The 17,009-nt window shown below is 41.8% G+C and overlaps 2 protein-coding genes across 10 annotated transcripts in view, besides 3 other annotated features; one reads left to right on the top strand and one right to left on the bottom strand.

Annotated features, from left to right (window-relative positions):
• The window catches only part of PDE12 (phosphodiesterase 12), a 100,222-nt gene extending 85,133 nt beyond the window's left edge, over positions 1-15,089 (bottom strand). The window contains exons 1-3 of one of the 3 annotated variants that reach the window (NM_177966.7): positions 13,676-15,089; positions 11,975-12,053; positions 4,515-11,801 (exon numbers count right to left, since the gene is read on the bottom strand). In NM_177966.7, the coding sequence (NP_808881.3) occupies positions 11,359-11,801; positions 11,975-12,053; positions 13,676-14,983 (1,830 nt within the window). In that variant the 5' untranslated portion in view covers positions 14,984-15,089 and the 3' untranslated portion in view covers positions 4,515-11,358. Of the gene's footprint in view, positions 1-4,514; positions 12,054-13,675 lie in introns of those variants that run through there. The other 2 variants (NM_001322176.2, NM_001322177.2) reach the window with 2 other exon arrangements.
• Positions 12,627-13,259: an enhancer, noted in NCBI's record as "H3K4me1 hESC enhancer chr3:57543831-57544463 (GRCh37/hg19 assembly coordinates)". NCBI's record gives its function as "activates a minimal SCP1, AML or CMV promoter by ChIP-STARR-seq in primed H9 embryonic stem cells {active_cell/tissue: H9 hESC(primed)}" and the evidence as "EXISTENCE:reporter gene assay evidence [ECO:0000049][PMID:30033119]".
• Positions 14,156-14,325: an enhancer, noted in NCBI's record as "active region_19988". NCBI's record gives its function as "activates an Ori minimal core promoter by ATAC-STARR-seq in GM12878 lymphoblastoid cells {active_cell/tissue: GM12878}" and the evidence as "EXISTENCE:reporter gene assay evidence [ECO:0000049][PMID:35858748]".
• Positions 14,816-15,595: an enhancer, noted in NCBI's record as "active region_19987". NCBI's record gives its function as "activates an Ori minimal core promoter by ATAC-STARR-seq in GM12878 lymphoblastoid cells {active_cell/tissue: GM12878}" and the evidence as "EXISTENCE:reporter gene assay evidence [ECO:0000049][PMID:35858748]".
• Positions 15,329-17,009, top strand: part of DNAH12 (dynein axonemal heavy chain 12) — a 262,335-nt gene continuing 260,654 nt past the window's right edge. For all 7 annotated transcript variants that reach the window (XM_047447667.1, XM_011533468.2, XM_047447668.1 and 4 more), the window contains exon 1: positions 15,329-15,693. The gene's annotated coding sequence lies outside the window, so the exon portion shown is untranslated. The remainder of the gene's footprint in view (positions 15,694-17,009) is intronic.

Genomic DNA, 17,009 nt, shown 5'->3' with positions numbered 1-17,009 from the left:
TTGTGTGTGTTCTTTTTGAGTTTTGAAGGTATTTGAAATGTATTTTCTTATGTAGCCAACTTTGCTTGCATATTTTATGTACTGTGAACAGTAACACAGATCCCACTGGTAGGTTACTAATTGTATAAAGTGGAGATCTAGATTGTTTTCATGTGTATAACAGCATGGGGAACACTATTAAAAACATAGTTTTCTAAAGTCAGATCAAGGGTAAAAGGAGGGCCTGGCATGGTGGCTCACGCCTGTAATCCTAGCACTTTAGGAGGTTGAGGCAGGAGGGTCACTTGAGAATAGGAGTTTGAGATCAGCTTTGGCAATGTAGTAAGACCCTGTTTCCCCTGTCTCTACTTAAAAAACTAAAAACAAAACAACAACAACAAAAAAATCAGGTGGGGGGTGGGGAGGGGCGGCATGTGGAGTGGGGTAGGGAGAGTAAAAGGCTGTAATAAAATGAACTGCCCAAAAAGCATGTATGTATGTGTTTTTTAGTTAAGGTTAATTAAACAAAAAAATTCAGGTGCTACTTGTATGGCCAATATAGAGACTTAGTGATGCTACTTTCCTACAAAAAAGTTTCACAACCACTTTTCTTTTTAACAGGGCAAATTTTAGAACTTTAACAGAAAGCTGCATATAATTCATACAAAGGTATACCTCATAAACTACATCTATTAAGTTTTAAGGGCTCAACTTGATAACTGAGTAACTTAGTTTCTGTCTATATTCTCATGTTGCATTCTTAATGGCTTGTAAAGATTCAGCTAAATTTATGGATTGAAAATTCCAAAATCAAATGCATACTTTTAAAAAAATGTATATTTTTGAATTGTCAAATAAATAACAATGGCCAGGCGTGGTGGCTCACACCTGTAATCCTAGCACTTTGGGAGGCCAAGGTGGGCAGATTGCCTGAGCTCAGGAGTTCAAGACCAGCCGCAACATGGTGAAACCCCATCTCTACTAAAAATACAAAAAAAAAAAAAAAAGGGTCTGGTGTGCTGGTGCATGCTGTGGTCCCAGCTACTTGAGAGGCTGAGGCAAGAGACTCGCTTGAACCTGGGAGGCAGAGGTTGCAGTGAGCCAACATAGCGCCACTGCACACGGTCTGCAAGACTCTGTCTCCAAAAAAAAAAAAAAAAAAAACACTGGATTAACCAAAAGGAAATTAGAATTGGTTGATGATTAGGTAGGGCAAAGTGTATGTTTAGTTTGTGTTACTTGTTAGAAATGCAATTTCCCTAGCCAACTGGATGAATTCTCCTTTCTTCCTTCCAAAGAAGACAGGTGTCATTTCCTATAGGATAAAACTGAACTATAGTATAATTGTTGTGTGTGTAGTCTTATGGGGCATCAACTAGGAAATATAAAACATCAGTGAATAAGTTCAGCGTTAGGGCTAGGTATTTAACCTAGTTATGCAAAGGTGTTTACATGGACTGTAAAGGGACTAGAGAATCTATGTAATCTTACTCGTGATGTAAAGCAGCTCTTAGTACCATTGGAAATTACCTTTTTTTTTTTTTTTTTTTTTTTGAGATGGTTTTACTCTGTCACCCAGGCTGGAGTCCAGTGGCAGGATCTTGGCTCACCGAAACCTTTACTTCCTGGGCTCAAGTGATCCTCCCATCTCAGCCCCACAAGTAGCTGGTACTACAGGCATGAGCCACCATGCCCAGGTAATTTTTATAGTTTTTAAAGAAAGTATTAGGCTGGGTGGGGTGGCTCACATCTGTAATCCTGGCACTTTGGGAGGCCGAGGCAGGTGGATCACCTGAGGTTGGGAGTTCAAGACCAGACTGACTAACAAACATGGAGAAACCCCATCTCTACTAAAAATACAAAACTAGCCATGCATGGTGGTGCATGCCTGTAATCCCAGCTACTCGAGAGGCTGAAGTGGGAGAATTGCTTGAACCTGGGAGGTGGAGGTTGTGGTGAGCCAAGACCGCACCATTGCACTCCAGCCTGGGCAATGAGTGAAACTCCGTCTCAAAATAATAATAATAATAAAGTATTAGCAACTTGACACATTTACCCCTAAAAATTATTTTTTCTTCAGTCTTTGTATTTTTTTTTAAAGTTCCTTTTTTTCTTTTTCCAAACAGAAGTGGTTTAAATGTTTTGGGAGAAAGTATTGAGAGATAACCCCTAGCCTTTCCCTGTTTTATGCAAACATAAAATCACTGTCACTGTCCTTATTTATTGAAGTATTATGAAATAGTTGATGCTATCAAGATTCAATGCTTACTGTTCATTCAAATGTTAAACCTACTGTTGGTCAAGCAATAAGAGTTCTCTGTGACCGCCCCTATTGTACAGAACAGTTGATTATATCCCTAGATTAAAAAGTATTCTGTCAACTAATTGTCAAATAATGTCAGTAGAGAAACTGAAGAGAAATTGTGATTCCCTTACAGGATCACTTGGCAGCATCAGAGTTGAGGATAGTACGATTATCTGCTCTCTGGTTCCCCTGTCCAATAAGCATTTTTTTTTTTTTTTTTGTCCATAACATTTCCCATTGTCTTTTGTCTCACTTTAACATAAGCTGCTTTTCTGTGATGTAATATCTTGATATTTTGTTAAGAGTTTCAATTTCCATGAAATTTTCCACTTACCTTATATACCCTCCATTGAAAATAAAAAAGGCATGGTAGCTCATGCCTGTAATCCCAGCACTTTGGGAGGCTGAGGCGGGAGGATCCTTTGAGGCCAGGAGTTTGAGACCAACCTGGTAAATATAGTGAGACCTCCATCTCTATTAAAAAAAAAAAAAAAAGAAGTGTATCTTTTGTGGAGAGTATTGGTGTCTCATTCAGACACTTCAGTTTACTTGAGTATACAGAATTATCTTTCAGGCAGTAGTAATTACTTTCAGGTCACTTACTATGATCAAACTTTTTTTTTTGAGACAGGGTCTCGCTCTGTCGCCCAGGCTGGAGTGCAGTGGCATGATCACAGCTCACTGCAGCCTCAACCTCCCAAGCTCAAGCGATCCTCCCACCTCAGCCTCCCACATAGCTGGGACTACAGGCCCACGCCATCAGTCTTGGCTAATTTTTGTAGAGATGGGGTTTCGCCATGTTGCTTAGGCTGGCCTTCAACTCCAGAGTTCAAGTGATCCACCCACCTAGGCCTCCCAAAGTGCTGGGATTACAGGTATGAGCCACTCTGCCTTGCCCAAATTTAATTAAATGTGAAATACCTGGTTCTTTGTCATGGAGGTTTGAAAGTGACTCCTAACTTGTCATTGAAAACAAGTGCTTTACTTTTTTTTTTTTTTTTTTTTTTTTTGAGATGGAGTCTCACTCTTATCACCCAGGCTGGAGTGCAGTGGTGTGATCTTGGCTCACTGCAACCTCCACCTCCCGGGTTCAAGCGATTCTCCTGCCTCAGCCTCCCGAGTAGCTGGGATTACAGGCACACACCACCATGTCCGGCTAATTTTTGGTATTTTTAGTAGAGATGGGGTTTCACCATGTTGGCCAGGCTAGTCTTGAATTCCTGACCTCAGGTGGGATTACAGGTGTGAGCCACCGCATCCGGCCAAGTGCTTTTCAATGGGGAGAAACTGGAGAGAACAAGTGCTTGTACCTTCTGGTAGCTTGTACTTCTGGATGTTTCAATAATGTAAATATTGGTTACCAGCTTTGGTAGAATTAGTATGAAAACTAGATTGAATAATAACAGTCTGTAAGTTCATTACCTGAGGATCTAATAGGGAAAATATATTTCTACTAGTATATACATGTGACATTGCATTCATGGGCCACTACTGGAAGGTTACTTGGCTGCTGTTATTTCTTACTATGCTACTTTTAGAGGACTATCCCTTTATCTTAAATGGTTAAATTCTAATAAGATTGTGAGAAATGAATAGCAGAAGTGCTTATCTAGACACAGGCAAAGAATAATTAAGGTAGCTGTATTATTGGATGCCTGCCAGTATGGCTTCATGTGTTAGAGGCAGCGGAGTTAGGTTCCTTCCTGACCTTGTCAGTCATTTTTCTATATTGTTCAAATGATACATTTTCAATTTTTTTTTTTTTTTGACACGGAGTCGTGCTCTGTCACCCAGGCTAGAGTGCAGTGGCATGATCTCAGCTCACTGCAACCTCTGCCTCCTGGGTTCAAGCGATTCTCCTGCCTCAGTCTCCGGATTAGCTGGGACTACAGGCGTGTACCACCACGGCCAGCTAATTTTTTTGTATTTTTAGTAGAGACGGAGGTTCACCATGTTGGCCAGGCTGGTTTCAAACTCCTGACCTCAAGTGATCCAACCGCCTTGGCCTCCCAAAGTGCTAGGATTACAGGCATGAGCCACTGTGCCCGACCACATTGTCAATTTTATTGGGCATGTAAGTACTTGGTGTTGGACAGCTTATCCTTGCTTTCTGGGAACTCACCAGATTTTGGTTACAGTGTTTCTTTTTTTTAGGCTGGGAACTAAAGGGATGTATGAAGCACAGACTAAGAAAGATTTGCCTCCCGGATGGTCCTGAAAAGGCAAGGGATGATGGATTATTATATTATTTATTTTTTAAGGAGGGGTGGCTAAACAACAAATAACATTTTTAAATGGGCAAAGTATTTCAAAAGACATTTCTCCAGAGATATATAGATGGCCAACGAGCACATGAAAAGATGCTTAACATCGTTAACCATCATGGAAATGCAAATCAAAACCACAATAAGATGCCACTTGACACTAGGATGCCTATAATCAAAAAGATAATAAAGTGTTAATGAGGATGGAGGGAAACTGGAACCCTCATATTGCTTGGTGGGAATGCAAAATAGTGCAACTGCTTTCCGTAAGTCTGGCAGTTCCTCAAAAGGTTATCACAGCACCCAACAATTCCATTCCCTGTATGTGCCCAAGAGAAACAAAAACACATATTCACTCAAAAACTTATCACAAATGTTTATGGCAGCATTATTCATAGAAGCCAGGAAGTGGAAGCAATTCAAATGTCTGTCAACTAATGAATGGACAAATGTGGTACGTCCATAAGATGGAACATTCATCATAAAAACAAACTCCTGATACATCCTACAACAGTAAGAACCTTAAAAACATCCTAAGTAAAAGAAGCCAGTCACAAAAGACTACATAAATTATGATTCAATTTATATGAAATGTCCAGAATAGGCAAATCCACAGAGACAGGTTAAGTTGTTGCCAGGAGCTAGGGAGAATGGGGAGTGACTGCCAAGTGAGTATGCAGCTTCTTTTGGGGGCCAGTCCTTGTCAACTGAGTTGATATGCAGTGACAAAAAAAGCTCTTAAGGAGAGTGGGATTATGTGACGTGAGCCACTGTGCTGGCCTGATTCCATTATTTATAATAGAATTATTAAAAACTCTACAGCTGGGATAGAAATACCCTTTCTTGGTTTAAGATACCCAAAACACTATAGCCCAGCTTTTCTGAGGAAGGCCACTGTTTATTTCTAACTGATTTTATCTTTGGATGTACCATTTCTCCAAACTATTCCACAGGGGATATAAGAATTATATGCAATAAATCCTTTTTTTAAAATTTTATTTTATTTTATTTTTGAGACAGAGTCCCGCTTTGTTGCCAGGCTGGAGTGCAATGGCGTGATCTCGGCTCACTGCAACCTCTGCCTCCCGGGTTCAAGTGATTCTCCTGCCTCAGCCTCCCCAAGCAGCTGAGACTACAGGCGCGCGCCACCATGCCCAGCTAATTTTTGTATTTTTAGTAGAGACAGGGTTTCACCATGTTGGCCAGGATGGTCTCGATCTGACCTCATGATCCACCGGCCTCAGCCTCCCAGAGTGCTGGGATTACAGGCGTGAGCCACCGCGCCCAGCGCAATAAATCCTTTTAAAAGTGTGTATATCACATTTTAGAATAACTGAGAGAGTACAATTGGAATGTTCGTAACACAAATGAATGCTTGATGTGATGAATACTCAATTTACTCTATCAAAAGAAATATGTCCCACATAAATATATACACCTACTATGTACCCATAAAATGTTTTTAAAAGTTGATAAATATGTTTTTTTCTGGAGAAAAAATTTGTTTTTAATTTTTTTAAAAAAAGGGCTATGTGTGCTGGCTCACACCTATAATCCCAGTACTTTGGGAGGCTGAAGCGGGAGAGTCATTTGAGCCCAGGAGTTTAAGACCAGTCTGGGCAACATAGAGAGACCCCCATCTCTACAAACAATTTAAAAAATTAGCCAGGCATGGTGGCATGCACCTATAGTCCCAGCTACTCAGGAGGCTGAGGTGGGAGGATCGCTTAAGCCCTGGAGTTTGATGCTGCAGTGAGCTATGATCATGCCACTGCGCTCCAGCCTGGGCAACAGCAACACCCTGTCTTATTTAAAAAAAAAAAAAATGTGTGCTGACTGGGTGGGGTGGCTCATGTCTGTAATATCAGCACTTTGGGAGGCCGAGGTGGGTGGACTGCTTGAACTGAGAATTTCAAGACCAGCCTGGGCAACATGGTGAAACCATTTTTTTTTTTTTTTTTGCCTATAAAATATACAAAAATTAGCCAGGTGTGGCGGTGCGCACCTGTAGTCCCAGCTATTTGGGGAGGCTGTGGTGGGAGGATTGCATAAGCCCAGGAGGTGGAGGTTGCAGTAAGCCGTGATGGCACCAGTGCCCTCCAAGCCTGGGTGACAAAGCCAGACCCTGTCTCAAAAAAGAAAAAAAAAGTGTTTATATTATCCAGTATAAGAAAGCCAACTAAATAAAGCCTATCCATTTCCCCTACTGAACCATCTTCAATATATAAGGAACACAAATGGTATGAAACTAGCACAAATGCAACCTAGGAATACTTCAATACACTAAAAAAAAAGTACATCAATACTTCATGATAACATCATTAAAGTGAATTACTGGGCAAAATGGACTGTGTTATATAAATGCTTTGACATACATTCATTACATAAATTGGACAGAAGATAGAGATGAATAATTCAGTTTTCTGTGAAATTTTGCGGGGAAATTTTAAATTATGAGTAAAAATCTAACACTGACAGTATGAACATGGATTTTTGACAACCCAGAATTTGCTAGCATAGCAGATAGGTGAACAGATTTACTATATTTAAGATTATTTTGCCATTTATATATAAAATTAAAATTTAGGCCGGGTACCGTGGCTCATGCCTGTAATCCCAGCACTTTCAGAGGCTGAGGCAGGCAGATCACTTGAGTTCAGGAGTTCAAGACCAGCCTGGCCAATATGGTGAAACCCTGTCTCTACTAAAAATACAAAAATTACAAGCAGTACTGTATGGTTATTTTGAAGTTAGTGCTAAGAAGAAAAATAAAATCACGAAGTTAATACAGCTCTAGTATTTTTAACATTTAAAAAAGTACTTTCATATAAAGTGAGAACACAGAACTTATATATTACCCATGTCAGTTAAAGCTGTTAAAAATTGTCCTCCCTACCCCCTACAACATGAAATCTAGAGTGGTTTTTTGAAGACAGGGTCTTGCTCTATTACCCAGGCTGGAGTGCAGCGCACCTTGATCACAACTCACTGCAGGCTTGACCTCATGGGCTCAAGTGATCCTCTGGCCTCAGCCTCCTGAGCAGCTGGGACTACAGGCATGCACCACCATGCCTGGTTAATTTTATTTTTTGCAGAGATAGGGTCTCACAATGTTGCCAAGGCTGGTCTTGAACTCCTCAGCTCAAGTGATCCTCCTGCCTCAGCCTCCCAAAATGTTGTGATTACAGTCAAGAGCCACTATGCCTGGCCCTCTAGATAGTGTTGCCTTCCTGTACTATATTAAGCAAATTATTAAAATTCTCAAAACACTGAAATATTTTTTATTTGTGTTTAAAAAATTCATTTTCAGGGCTGGGGGAGGGATAGCATTAGGAGAAATACCTAATGTAAATGACGAGTTAACGGGTGCAGCAAACCAACATGGCACATGTATACCTATGTAACAAATCTGCACGTTGGGCACATGTACACTAGAACTTAAAGTATAATAATAAAAAAAGAAAAAAAGAAAGTTAGTTTTCAGTTATGGAAGGTTGGGCTTGTAATCTCAACTACTTGGGACGCTGAGGCAGGAGGATCATTTGAGCCCCGCAGTTTGAGGCTGTAGTAAGTTATGACTGCACCACTGCACTCCAGCCTGGGTAACAGTGAGACTCTATCTCTTAAAAAAATTATGCTGAGAATATTTTCTGAGTTGTCACATGGGTCTTGTGATAAACTAATAATGCAAACTTTTATTTTTCATTATATATAAATATTGGATTTATCCCAACCAAACTAGTTTGCAGGGAACCTCTGCCTTTATTTCACGGCTGGAGAATGAGATACAAAAGATGTCAATTTCCATCGTAAGAACTTTCCACAGTAGTGTTCTTTGGACATTCTCTCCCTTGTATTAGGCTCCTCAGAAATCTATCTCCAGACTGAAACCAGCACATTCTGATGAGATCATAGCTTAGTACTCAGAAAAATCACTACTCAGTGGAATTCTTGAAATTTTGAAACAACTGATTTTAGCATACAGAATTTCAAAAAGAACATACATTACAGCCAGAAACGATTGTTTGCTCATGAATTTTGATTATTGGCAGACACATTTGCTGTAGCGGCAACTGTGCAAGAGTTCATTTTAACAGAATAATATGTTCTGAAATACTCTTTTATAATCAATATAAAATTCTAGAATGTTAATTCCTATAGCAAGAACTTGTGACATTATAAAATGTGGTTTACCATAGAAAGTCGCTAGATTTCCCATGTTTTCTTAAAATTAAATGTACTAAAAAATCCAAATGTAATAGAAAAATGCAATCACATAGGTGCTTTAAACAGACATTTCTGAATAACACTGCATTCTAACTCATGAGTACAAAGAAATGTGTATGCTATTTATACATTTTCTTAGTGTTCCCTACCTTTGGACTCCAATCATTTTAACGTATCCGTATACTGGAGATTTGATCACAGTATATGGCACTTCACAATAACATTCCATGTCCTAATAATGTGAAATGCCTGTATACAATCTGAGTATATTGTTTAGTCAGAAAACATCAAAATTAAGGATATAGGACATGGAATGTCTGTTAAGTGCTGAGTTTTTCTGACTAGAGTTTAATCTAGCCAGTGTTAATGTGGAAGCTGTATGCTTTTTTCATGGGCATGTTCGAATTTTTTCTTTCAAAATGTTTCTCAACTTTTTGATGTGACACTTTGTTTTCTCCCAAGTCACTCTAAGGGTTCTATCAACATCTTTCTTTGAAAACAGCCCAAAAACATATTTTTAAAATGAAAAAAAAATTCACAAGAGAATCAAGATTTGGTTTTAATCTATTATTTACATATTTGTAAACTGCTGTTAAAATGCTCTCAAAAATGTTATTTAGGAAGGCACAATTTGGTAGCATCAATTTTTTATTTATAGTTTTTTCTAAACAAGATCCGAAGAAACTTCCACTTTAATTTTCCCCTTGGAGTACTTAAAGTACTTCAAGGTTCAATGTCAAATGCAGATAAAACCCCTTCATTTTCAAACTTACTAAGTGTTAACAATACATTTGATAGTGAGCAGAATATGAAAGTACAGATGTTATCAAAAGAGGAAATTCTTATGATACTAGGTTCAGAGATTAAAGAATTTGAAACAAGGGCTTTCATGACTGGGGAAAATCAAAGCTTTTCTTGAAGGGAGTGGGCTTTTAATACTCGAGCTATTAATTAAATGCAGAAATGAGATAACATAGTTATCCTGAACATCAAAAAAGCAACAGCTAATACAGCTAATGCATTATAAATAATGTATTTCATAACTGAATTAGTAAAGCATGGTTACCACTCTAGGCTAGACACTAATCAGTATAACCATTTGTAGTTTCTAATTTTAAAAAGTTTGGCTTCATATTTAAATTTCATTTTACTATATATATATTACATATATACACACTGTTGTCTGTAACTCAAACTATAATGCTTGTCTGTAAAAAGAAGTTTTTTATTTCAGAGATGCTTAAAAGTCCCACTACTCAACCTTTTTCCTGTTTATAAAAACCAACAATTTTGAAATTACTTCTAGTGTAGAAATGCTCAATGATTCATCCAAAATTTCAAGCCCATATCAGTAGGTAGTTTCTCATAAAGTAATGTGCTGTATTTTCTAATATCATATGGTCAAATACCCTGTTCATTTATGAACATTTTTCATGGGCAAGAGTAACTGAAGACAATGGGATCAAGTTGAATATGTTGCTACTCACTTTGAATACTAAATTGTGCTTGCATCCTAAAAATTAAAATGAGCTGCAGTAAGAATTAGAATATAAACTGTGTTCATTTGTACCATACACTAAAAACTAAAATCCTAAAAATAAGAATGAAAATACCTTACTTGTTCATTGAAAAATGAAAGATGAGAAGCAATAACAATTGGTGACGATTTATTTTTATCTTTTGTTAAAGCTCTGAAATTGTAGTAAATCGCTAACTAAATTGAGGTAGAGGTAGACCCTAATGTTACTCCTTCCATGTGTCAAGTCTCTCACCTTAGGTCTCTAAGGTCACCTATAACTTAAGTCTCTCACCCTTAACTTAAATACATTTTCCCTCTTAGTACATAAGCATGATTCATTTTGGAATGTGTTGTCATGAAAGAAAAATTAAGATCATTCAAATGGTACTTTAAAAATTCTGAACTCCTAGCTAAAAAAATTCTCTTATAAAAATGTACACAAGGGCCGGGTGCGGTGGCTCACGCCTGTAATCCCAACACTTTGGGAGGCCGAGGTGGGTGGATCACCTGAGGTCAGGAGTTCAAGACCAGCCTGGCCAACGTGGCGAAACCCCATTTCTACTAAAAATACAAAAATTAGCCAGACATGTTGGCGCACGCCTGTAATCCCAGCTACTCGGGAAGCTGAGGCAGGAGAATCGCTTAAACCCAGGGGGCGGAGGTTGCAGTGAGCCGAGATTGTGCCATTGCACTCCAGCCTGGGCAACAAGAGTGAAACTCCATCTCAAAAAAACAAAAACAAAAACAAAAACAAACAAACAAAAAACACGCTAATTCAATCTTCCTTTTCTGAGAGTCTCAATTTGGAGAAAAATAATTCAATTTTCTATTTTGCTAGTAAGAAATATATTTGTTTCTCCTCCAATTGTAGAGGAAAACAAGGAAAGAGAAGATGTATGATGCAAACATCAACAGTTTCATAACGAAGACATCAGGAACATAACTAGGAGGGCTGAACATTTTACCATTCCTCCTTGAAGTTTACATATAAGCTTTGATTCATATTAAATTTTCTGCTAAAATAACTACTTCCTTTTCAGACTTCAATTCCATTAAACACACATCTATTTCCATTTTAAATCACATACAAGTGCTATGTGATCAGAGGGATGGGAAACACTAGGTAAGGCCTGGTGGGTGGTAACTTCTTCATGACTAGGTAATGGAATCACCTGTTCAACCTCTAAAGCATTTAAGTCAATGAAAATGTAATCTAGACATCCATGAAAGCCACCAACATAATTTGTGTAAGCAGGTTCACCACAAGCACTTTTCAGCTTGAAGAAATGTGTAAGAGACATATTGCATCTTTCCTCCTCCCCATTGGAAGCCCAGTCTTCATGATCCTCTGGAATGCTGCCATTGATGACAAAATGATACATTCCTGTTGATGGTGTACTATTAAAGTCCCCACAAAATATAACTGGTATGCCAGGATACAGATCACATGAAACATGTCTTATGTGAGCCAAGGCTACTGCCATTTGAATGAGGCGAATATACCCACCTATGAATATAAAAAACATTAATGTAAGTATTTTTTAAAGTTGTCTTTAAGTTAAAAAAGAAAAACTACACAAATTACAGTCTCTGGGTGACGTTCAAGATATGCATTTGTGTAAAACACTTTAAACAACTTTAAGCGTGTTTAAGTCACTTGTGATACCAAATAAAACCTACCTTTAGGATGCCAGTAAAGATGGGTATTAGCAACACATATCCTTTTAGAAGAGTCCTTTGTAGACTGAAGAACTGAAACCTAAAATAAACGGAAAGTGCCAAGAGTTCAGTTGGCATTTGCAAATCTCCTGAATGTTTTTGTTTGTTTGTTTGTTTTTTTGAGTTTTTTCGAGACAGTCTCACTCTGTCAACCAGGCTGGAGTGCAGTAGCGCGATCTCGGCTCACTGCAAGCTCCGCCTCCCGGGTTCAAGCGATTCCCCTGCCTCTGCCTCCGGAGTAGCTGGGACTACAGGCGCGTGCCACCACGCCCGGCTAATTTTTTTGTATTTGTAGTAGAGACGGGGTTTCATCGTGTTAGCCAGGATGGTCTCGATTTCCTGACTTGTGATCCACCCGCCTCGGCCTCCCAAAGTGCTGGGATTACAGGCATAAGCCACCAGGCCCGGCCTGTTTTTTATCTAAGACTAATGGCGAACTAACGTTTTCTTCCATCTCCTTCCCTTGATGAACTAGGACTGCAGTCATGAAATCCAACTTAAAGTTTCAGGATCTACATGACTAGGTTCAGTGTAACATGTTTTAATAATAGTCCAATATAGGCCGGGCGTGGTGGCTCACGCCTGTAATCCCAGCACTTTGGGAGGCTGAGGCGGGCGGATCACGAGGTCAGGAGATCGAGACCATCCTGGCTAACATGGTGAAACCCCAAACCCCGTCTCTACTAAAAAAATTAGCCGGGCGTGGTGGCACGCGCCTCTAGTCCCAGCTACTAGGGAGGCTGAGGCAGGAGAATCGCTTGAACCCGGGAGGCGGAAGTTGCGGTGAGCCGATATCGCGCCACCGTACTCCAGCCTAGGTGACAGAGACTCCGTCTCAAAATAATAATAATAATAATAATAGTCCAATATATAAAGCTAGTAATATAAACAATACATTTTACATGACAACACTTTGACTGGAGAAAGTGTTTTCAAGCGTAAGCACAGGCTTTGGAGTCAGGCAGACCTGGGTTTGAATACTCATTTCACCATTTATAGCAATGTGACCTGCAAAAAGATGCTTTTCTAGCCAGTTTCGTACTGGCAGTCACTGACAATACCATCCACCTCATGGGCTGTTGTGTGGAGTCAATTAAATGATCTTATAAGGTGCATGAAACACCTTAGGTACTTAAAAAATGGTAGCTGCTCTTCTTATTATGAACAAAATCAATTACTTAAAAACTTTAACACAAGAATGACATCTATAAAATGGGAATAGGGGACTTACTGTGAAGATTCAATGAGCCTATGATTTAAAAAAAACTAGTTTATATTTATGGAGCACTTCAAAACACACCACGCTCTTAAATTTTAAGTACTTTAAAATGTGCCAGAACAGTGCTTGGCAAGTAGTAAAAAACATTAGCTACTATTGTTCTTGCATTTAGCGTGTGTCCCTCTCGCTAGATTGTAAGCACTGTAAAAGTCCCTGCTAGTCTTGTTCAAGGCAACCTGCAGTATGGCAGGCACACCAGAGGTGTTCAAAAAATATCTGCTGAATGAATGAAGAGTAAACTTTGTGCTGAAGATACAAGGGCAAACACACCTTTCAACAATATCTGGATACTTTCATCGCACTTTTAACCCCCACCTCATTCCTCGCCTTCCTGGCCCCTAAAAGTGGGACAGTATGTGAAGAGACGGGCGGAACTACTTTACCTGAAGAACAGAAGATCTCTGGAGCACCTTCTCCTGCGCTGATGGGTACAAAACTAGTTTCTCCAGCAGTTCTTTGTGAAGTGGGTCGGACTCGAGGGCTTCGTAGAATGAAATGTCATGCTGGCTAAGAAGGCTGAACTTAGACTTTCGGTAGAAAGTGGCCAGGCCTTCGTGCTGCTTGATTCGAAACACCCCCTCGAGCCCGAAGGCCTCTAGGGCGGGTACCAAGCTGTCAGAAAACACTGCGCGGTCAACCTCCTGCAAACAGATGACATCGGCGTTGTAGCCGGTGAGTTCCTTCTGGATAAGGTTCTGGCGGTAGTCGAGCTCCAGGGCGTAGGGGGCACAGTATGGGTACAGAACCGTTCGCGAGAACTCAGTCTGCGCGTACGTGTCTGCCAGGATGTTGTAAGAGACAGTGCGGATGAGAGCGTCCTCAGTCACCTTCTTCGTGTAGAGATGCCGGTGGTCAAAAGTGCAGGTGCCAGGCCCAGCCTCTACCACACACACACTTTCCAACTCCCGGCTGTGCCCAAAGCGCTGCCCATCGCCTGGGGTGCAGTGAAGCTTGAGCCTTAGCCCGATGTCGGCATTGGACGGGGTGTAGACACGCTCCTCCACATCAGTCTCAGTCCAAGAAGAAGAAGGTGAGGAGGGAGACAATGACGAGGGGACACCGACCTCGGGCTCCGCCGCTCCGGGCTTGGCTTCCTTATACCAGCGGAAAAGGGAGCTGGCGGGATCCCCAAATTCGAGGCTGAGTTTGGGGCACACAGGGAACCCGGCCATGATGTAGCGCGGCAACTGCAGTTCGGTGAAGGCGGGCGGGTTGCGCTCCACCTTGTACTTAACATCGCCGATCTGCAGCACCGCGCCGTCTTGCCAGGCATCCACGTTGAGCACGTCCTCAGCCACTGCCTCTTCCCGGTAGTACAGCTTCACCACGGGCTCGCAGAACACAGCCGGCTCAGGCCCCGGCCCTGAACAGGCCGCACCGCCGCTAGCATTCGGCCGGCTCTTCCTGCTCTTCTTGGCGGCGGCCGCCTTAGCGTGACCCTTTAGGGCATTGGTAGCGATGCGGCTGAGGACTCGACCCAGCGGCTCGCTCTGGTCGCGCTGCATGTTCTTGTGGCTACCATCAGCCAAAGCGAATGACAGGCTCAGCTTGGGTTCCGAAGGTACGCAGCGCACTACAGCGCGCTCCATCGCTCCCGCCGCTGTCTGGCTCCCCGCTTCAGCCCGGCTCAGCTTCTCCACCGCCGTCCGGATCACCCGAAGCGCGGCGCGGGCGCCTGGGAGCCTCCACATGAACCTGGTGGCCTAGCGGTCGACAAGACCCGCGGCCGATCAGCGGCCTACTGTCAGGTGGAGCTGAGGAGCCGAGGCCGCCGGCTTTGACTCATTCAGATCTCGCGACTTCCGGCTAGCGAAGAGAGGGAATGAAGTGCTTCCGACTCGCACTTTCGCCTAGCGCGTGGGCACGCATGTCTGTAATACTCTGAAGATTAATTTTTACCTACACGATAGGTCAGAATTATAGGGAAGTGAAGAAAATATAAAGGTGTCAGAGGAAAATACTAGATTCCACGGTTTTGTCGAAAGTGCATGCTGGTGACGGGAGGGCATGCCCTCCAAGCCGGAAGTGGATAGGGTGGTGTCACGTGTTCCGCTTCGTTGGAGGAGGTGGACACCTGTCTTGGAATCTTGGCTGACCAGCTCTCCTCCCTGCGCCCGGGACTGGACTGCGCTAGGACGTGGAGGCCTCCACCCGGATTGCGAGCTTTACTCGCAGTGTGGAAGGTGTTGCCCATTTCATCTCCACAGCTTTGCCGACCCTGATCGCTCGTTTCGGTGGCCTGGTGGGTTCACCCCAGGCTGAGCCAGCGCCTACGCACCTCTGAGCAGAGCCTTTGTGGTAGTTAACAACGAACGATATACAATAACTCCGTTTAGTGAGCGCAGACTATGCGAGAAACGCTACACACACTATCTTATTTAAGCCTCATAGTTCTTATGAGGTAGGTCTCTTTATCCATCGCTTTACAGATGCAGAGTCCCGAGATATTACCTGCTCAGGGTCACACAACTATTAATTGGCAGAAAGAAATAGTACTGACAAACTGCGGAAGGCTGTTTGTTATTTTTTATTAGAGACAGGTTGTCACTTTGACGCCCAAGCTGGAGTGCAGTGGCCTGATCATAGCTCACTGCCCCCTCGAACTCCAGGGCTCGTGCGATCCTCCCGCCTAACCCTCTCAAGTACAAACAGGCAAGAGCCACCCAGTGTTTATTTTTAGTTAGTAAATAGGAAGACTCTATTTAGTTACTACATTTAACAAATAAAATTACAGGATCTCAGTTAAATTCAATTTCAGATAAGGAATAATAATGGGGCATATATTAAGAAATAGTTGTTTATCTGTTTATTTTATTTTTTTATTTTTTAGGTAGGGCCTTGCTCTTTCACCCAAGCTGGAGTGCAGCTGTGCGATCTTGGCTTACTGCAACTTCGGCTTCCAGAGTTCAAGCGATTCTCGTGCCTCAGCCTCCCAAGTAGCTGGGACTACAGGCACACACCACCACGCCCAGCTAATTTTTGTATTTTAGTAGAGAAGGGCTTCACCATGTTTCCTGGGCTGGTCGCGAACTCCTGGCCTCAAGCAAGCCCCCCGCCTTACCCTCCCAAAATTCTGGGATAACAAGTGAAAACCACCTCCCCTGGCCTAAGGAATCGTGCACTTTATTGCTATTTCTTTTAAAGGTCTTAAAGACGCCGGGCCCAGTGGCTCACGTCTGTAATCCCAGCACTTTGGGAGGCTGAGGCGGGTGGATCGCCTAAGGTCAGGAGTTCGAGACCAGCCTGGCCAACATAGTGAAACCCCGTCTCTACTAAAAATACAAAAAATTAGCTGGGCATGGTGGCGCACACCTGTAATCCCAGCTACTAGGGAGGCTGAGGCAGGAGAATCGCTTGAACCTGGGAGATGGAGGTCATAGTGAGTTGAGATCATGCCATTGCACTCCAGCCTGGGCAACAAGAGTGAAACTCCGTCTCAAAACAAAACAAAAAAAGGTCTTGAAGAACGAATGAATTGCTTTACCTGTAGACCAGAAAGAGGTCCAGTGTGATGAGTAAGGTGAGACCAGGGGAGAGTAGCAGATAAGAAAGATATGCATCCACCAAATTGTGTAGTGCATTCTAAGCCATAGTATGAAGTTCTGGATTTCTTCTAAGAGGGCCATTAGAGTTGTTTTGCTTGCAATTATGGAAAAGCTTTAATTTTCATTTTCTTGAAAGGGGAAAAGCTAAAAACATTTGGTTTTAATTGCAAGA

This window comes from Homo sapiens, chromosome 3 (genome assembly GCF_000001405.40).
Source record: "Homo sapiens chromosome 3, GRCh38.p14 Primary Assembly".
Taxonomy (NCBI): Eukaryota; Metazoa; Chordata; class Mammalia; order Primates; family Hominidae; genus Homo; species Homo sapiens.
This window is presented reverse-complemented; position numbering and strand designations above follow the sequence as displayed.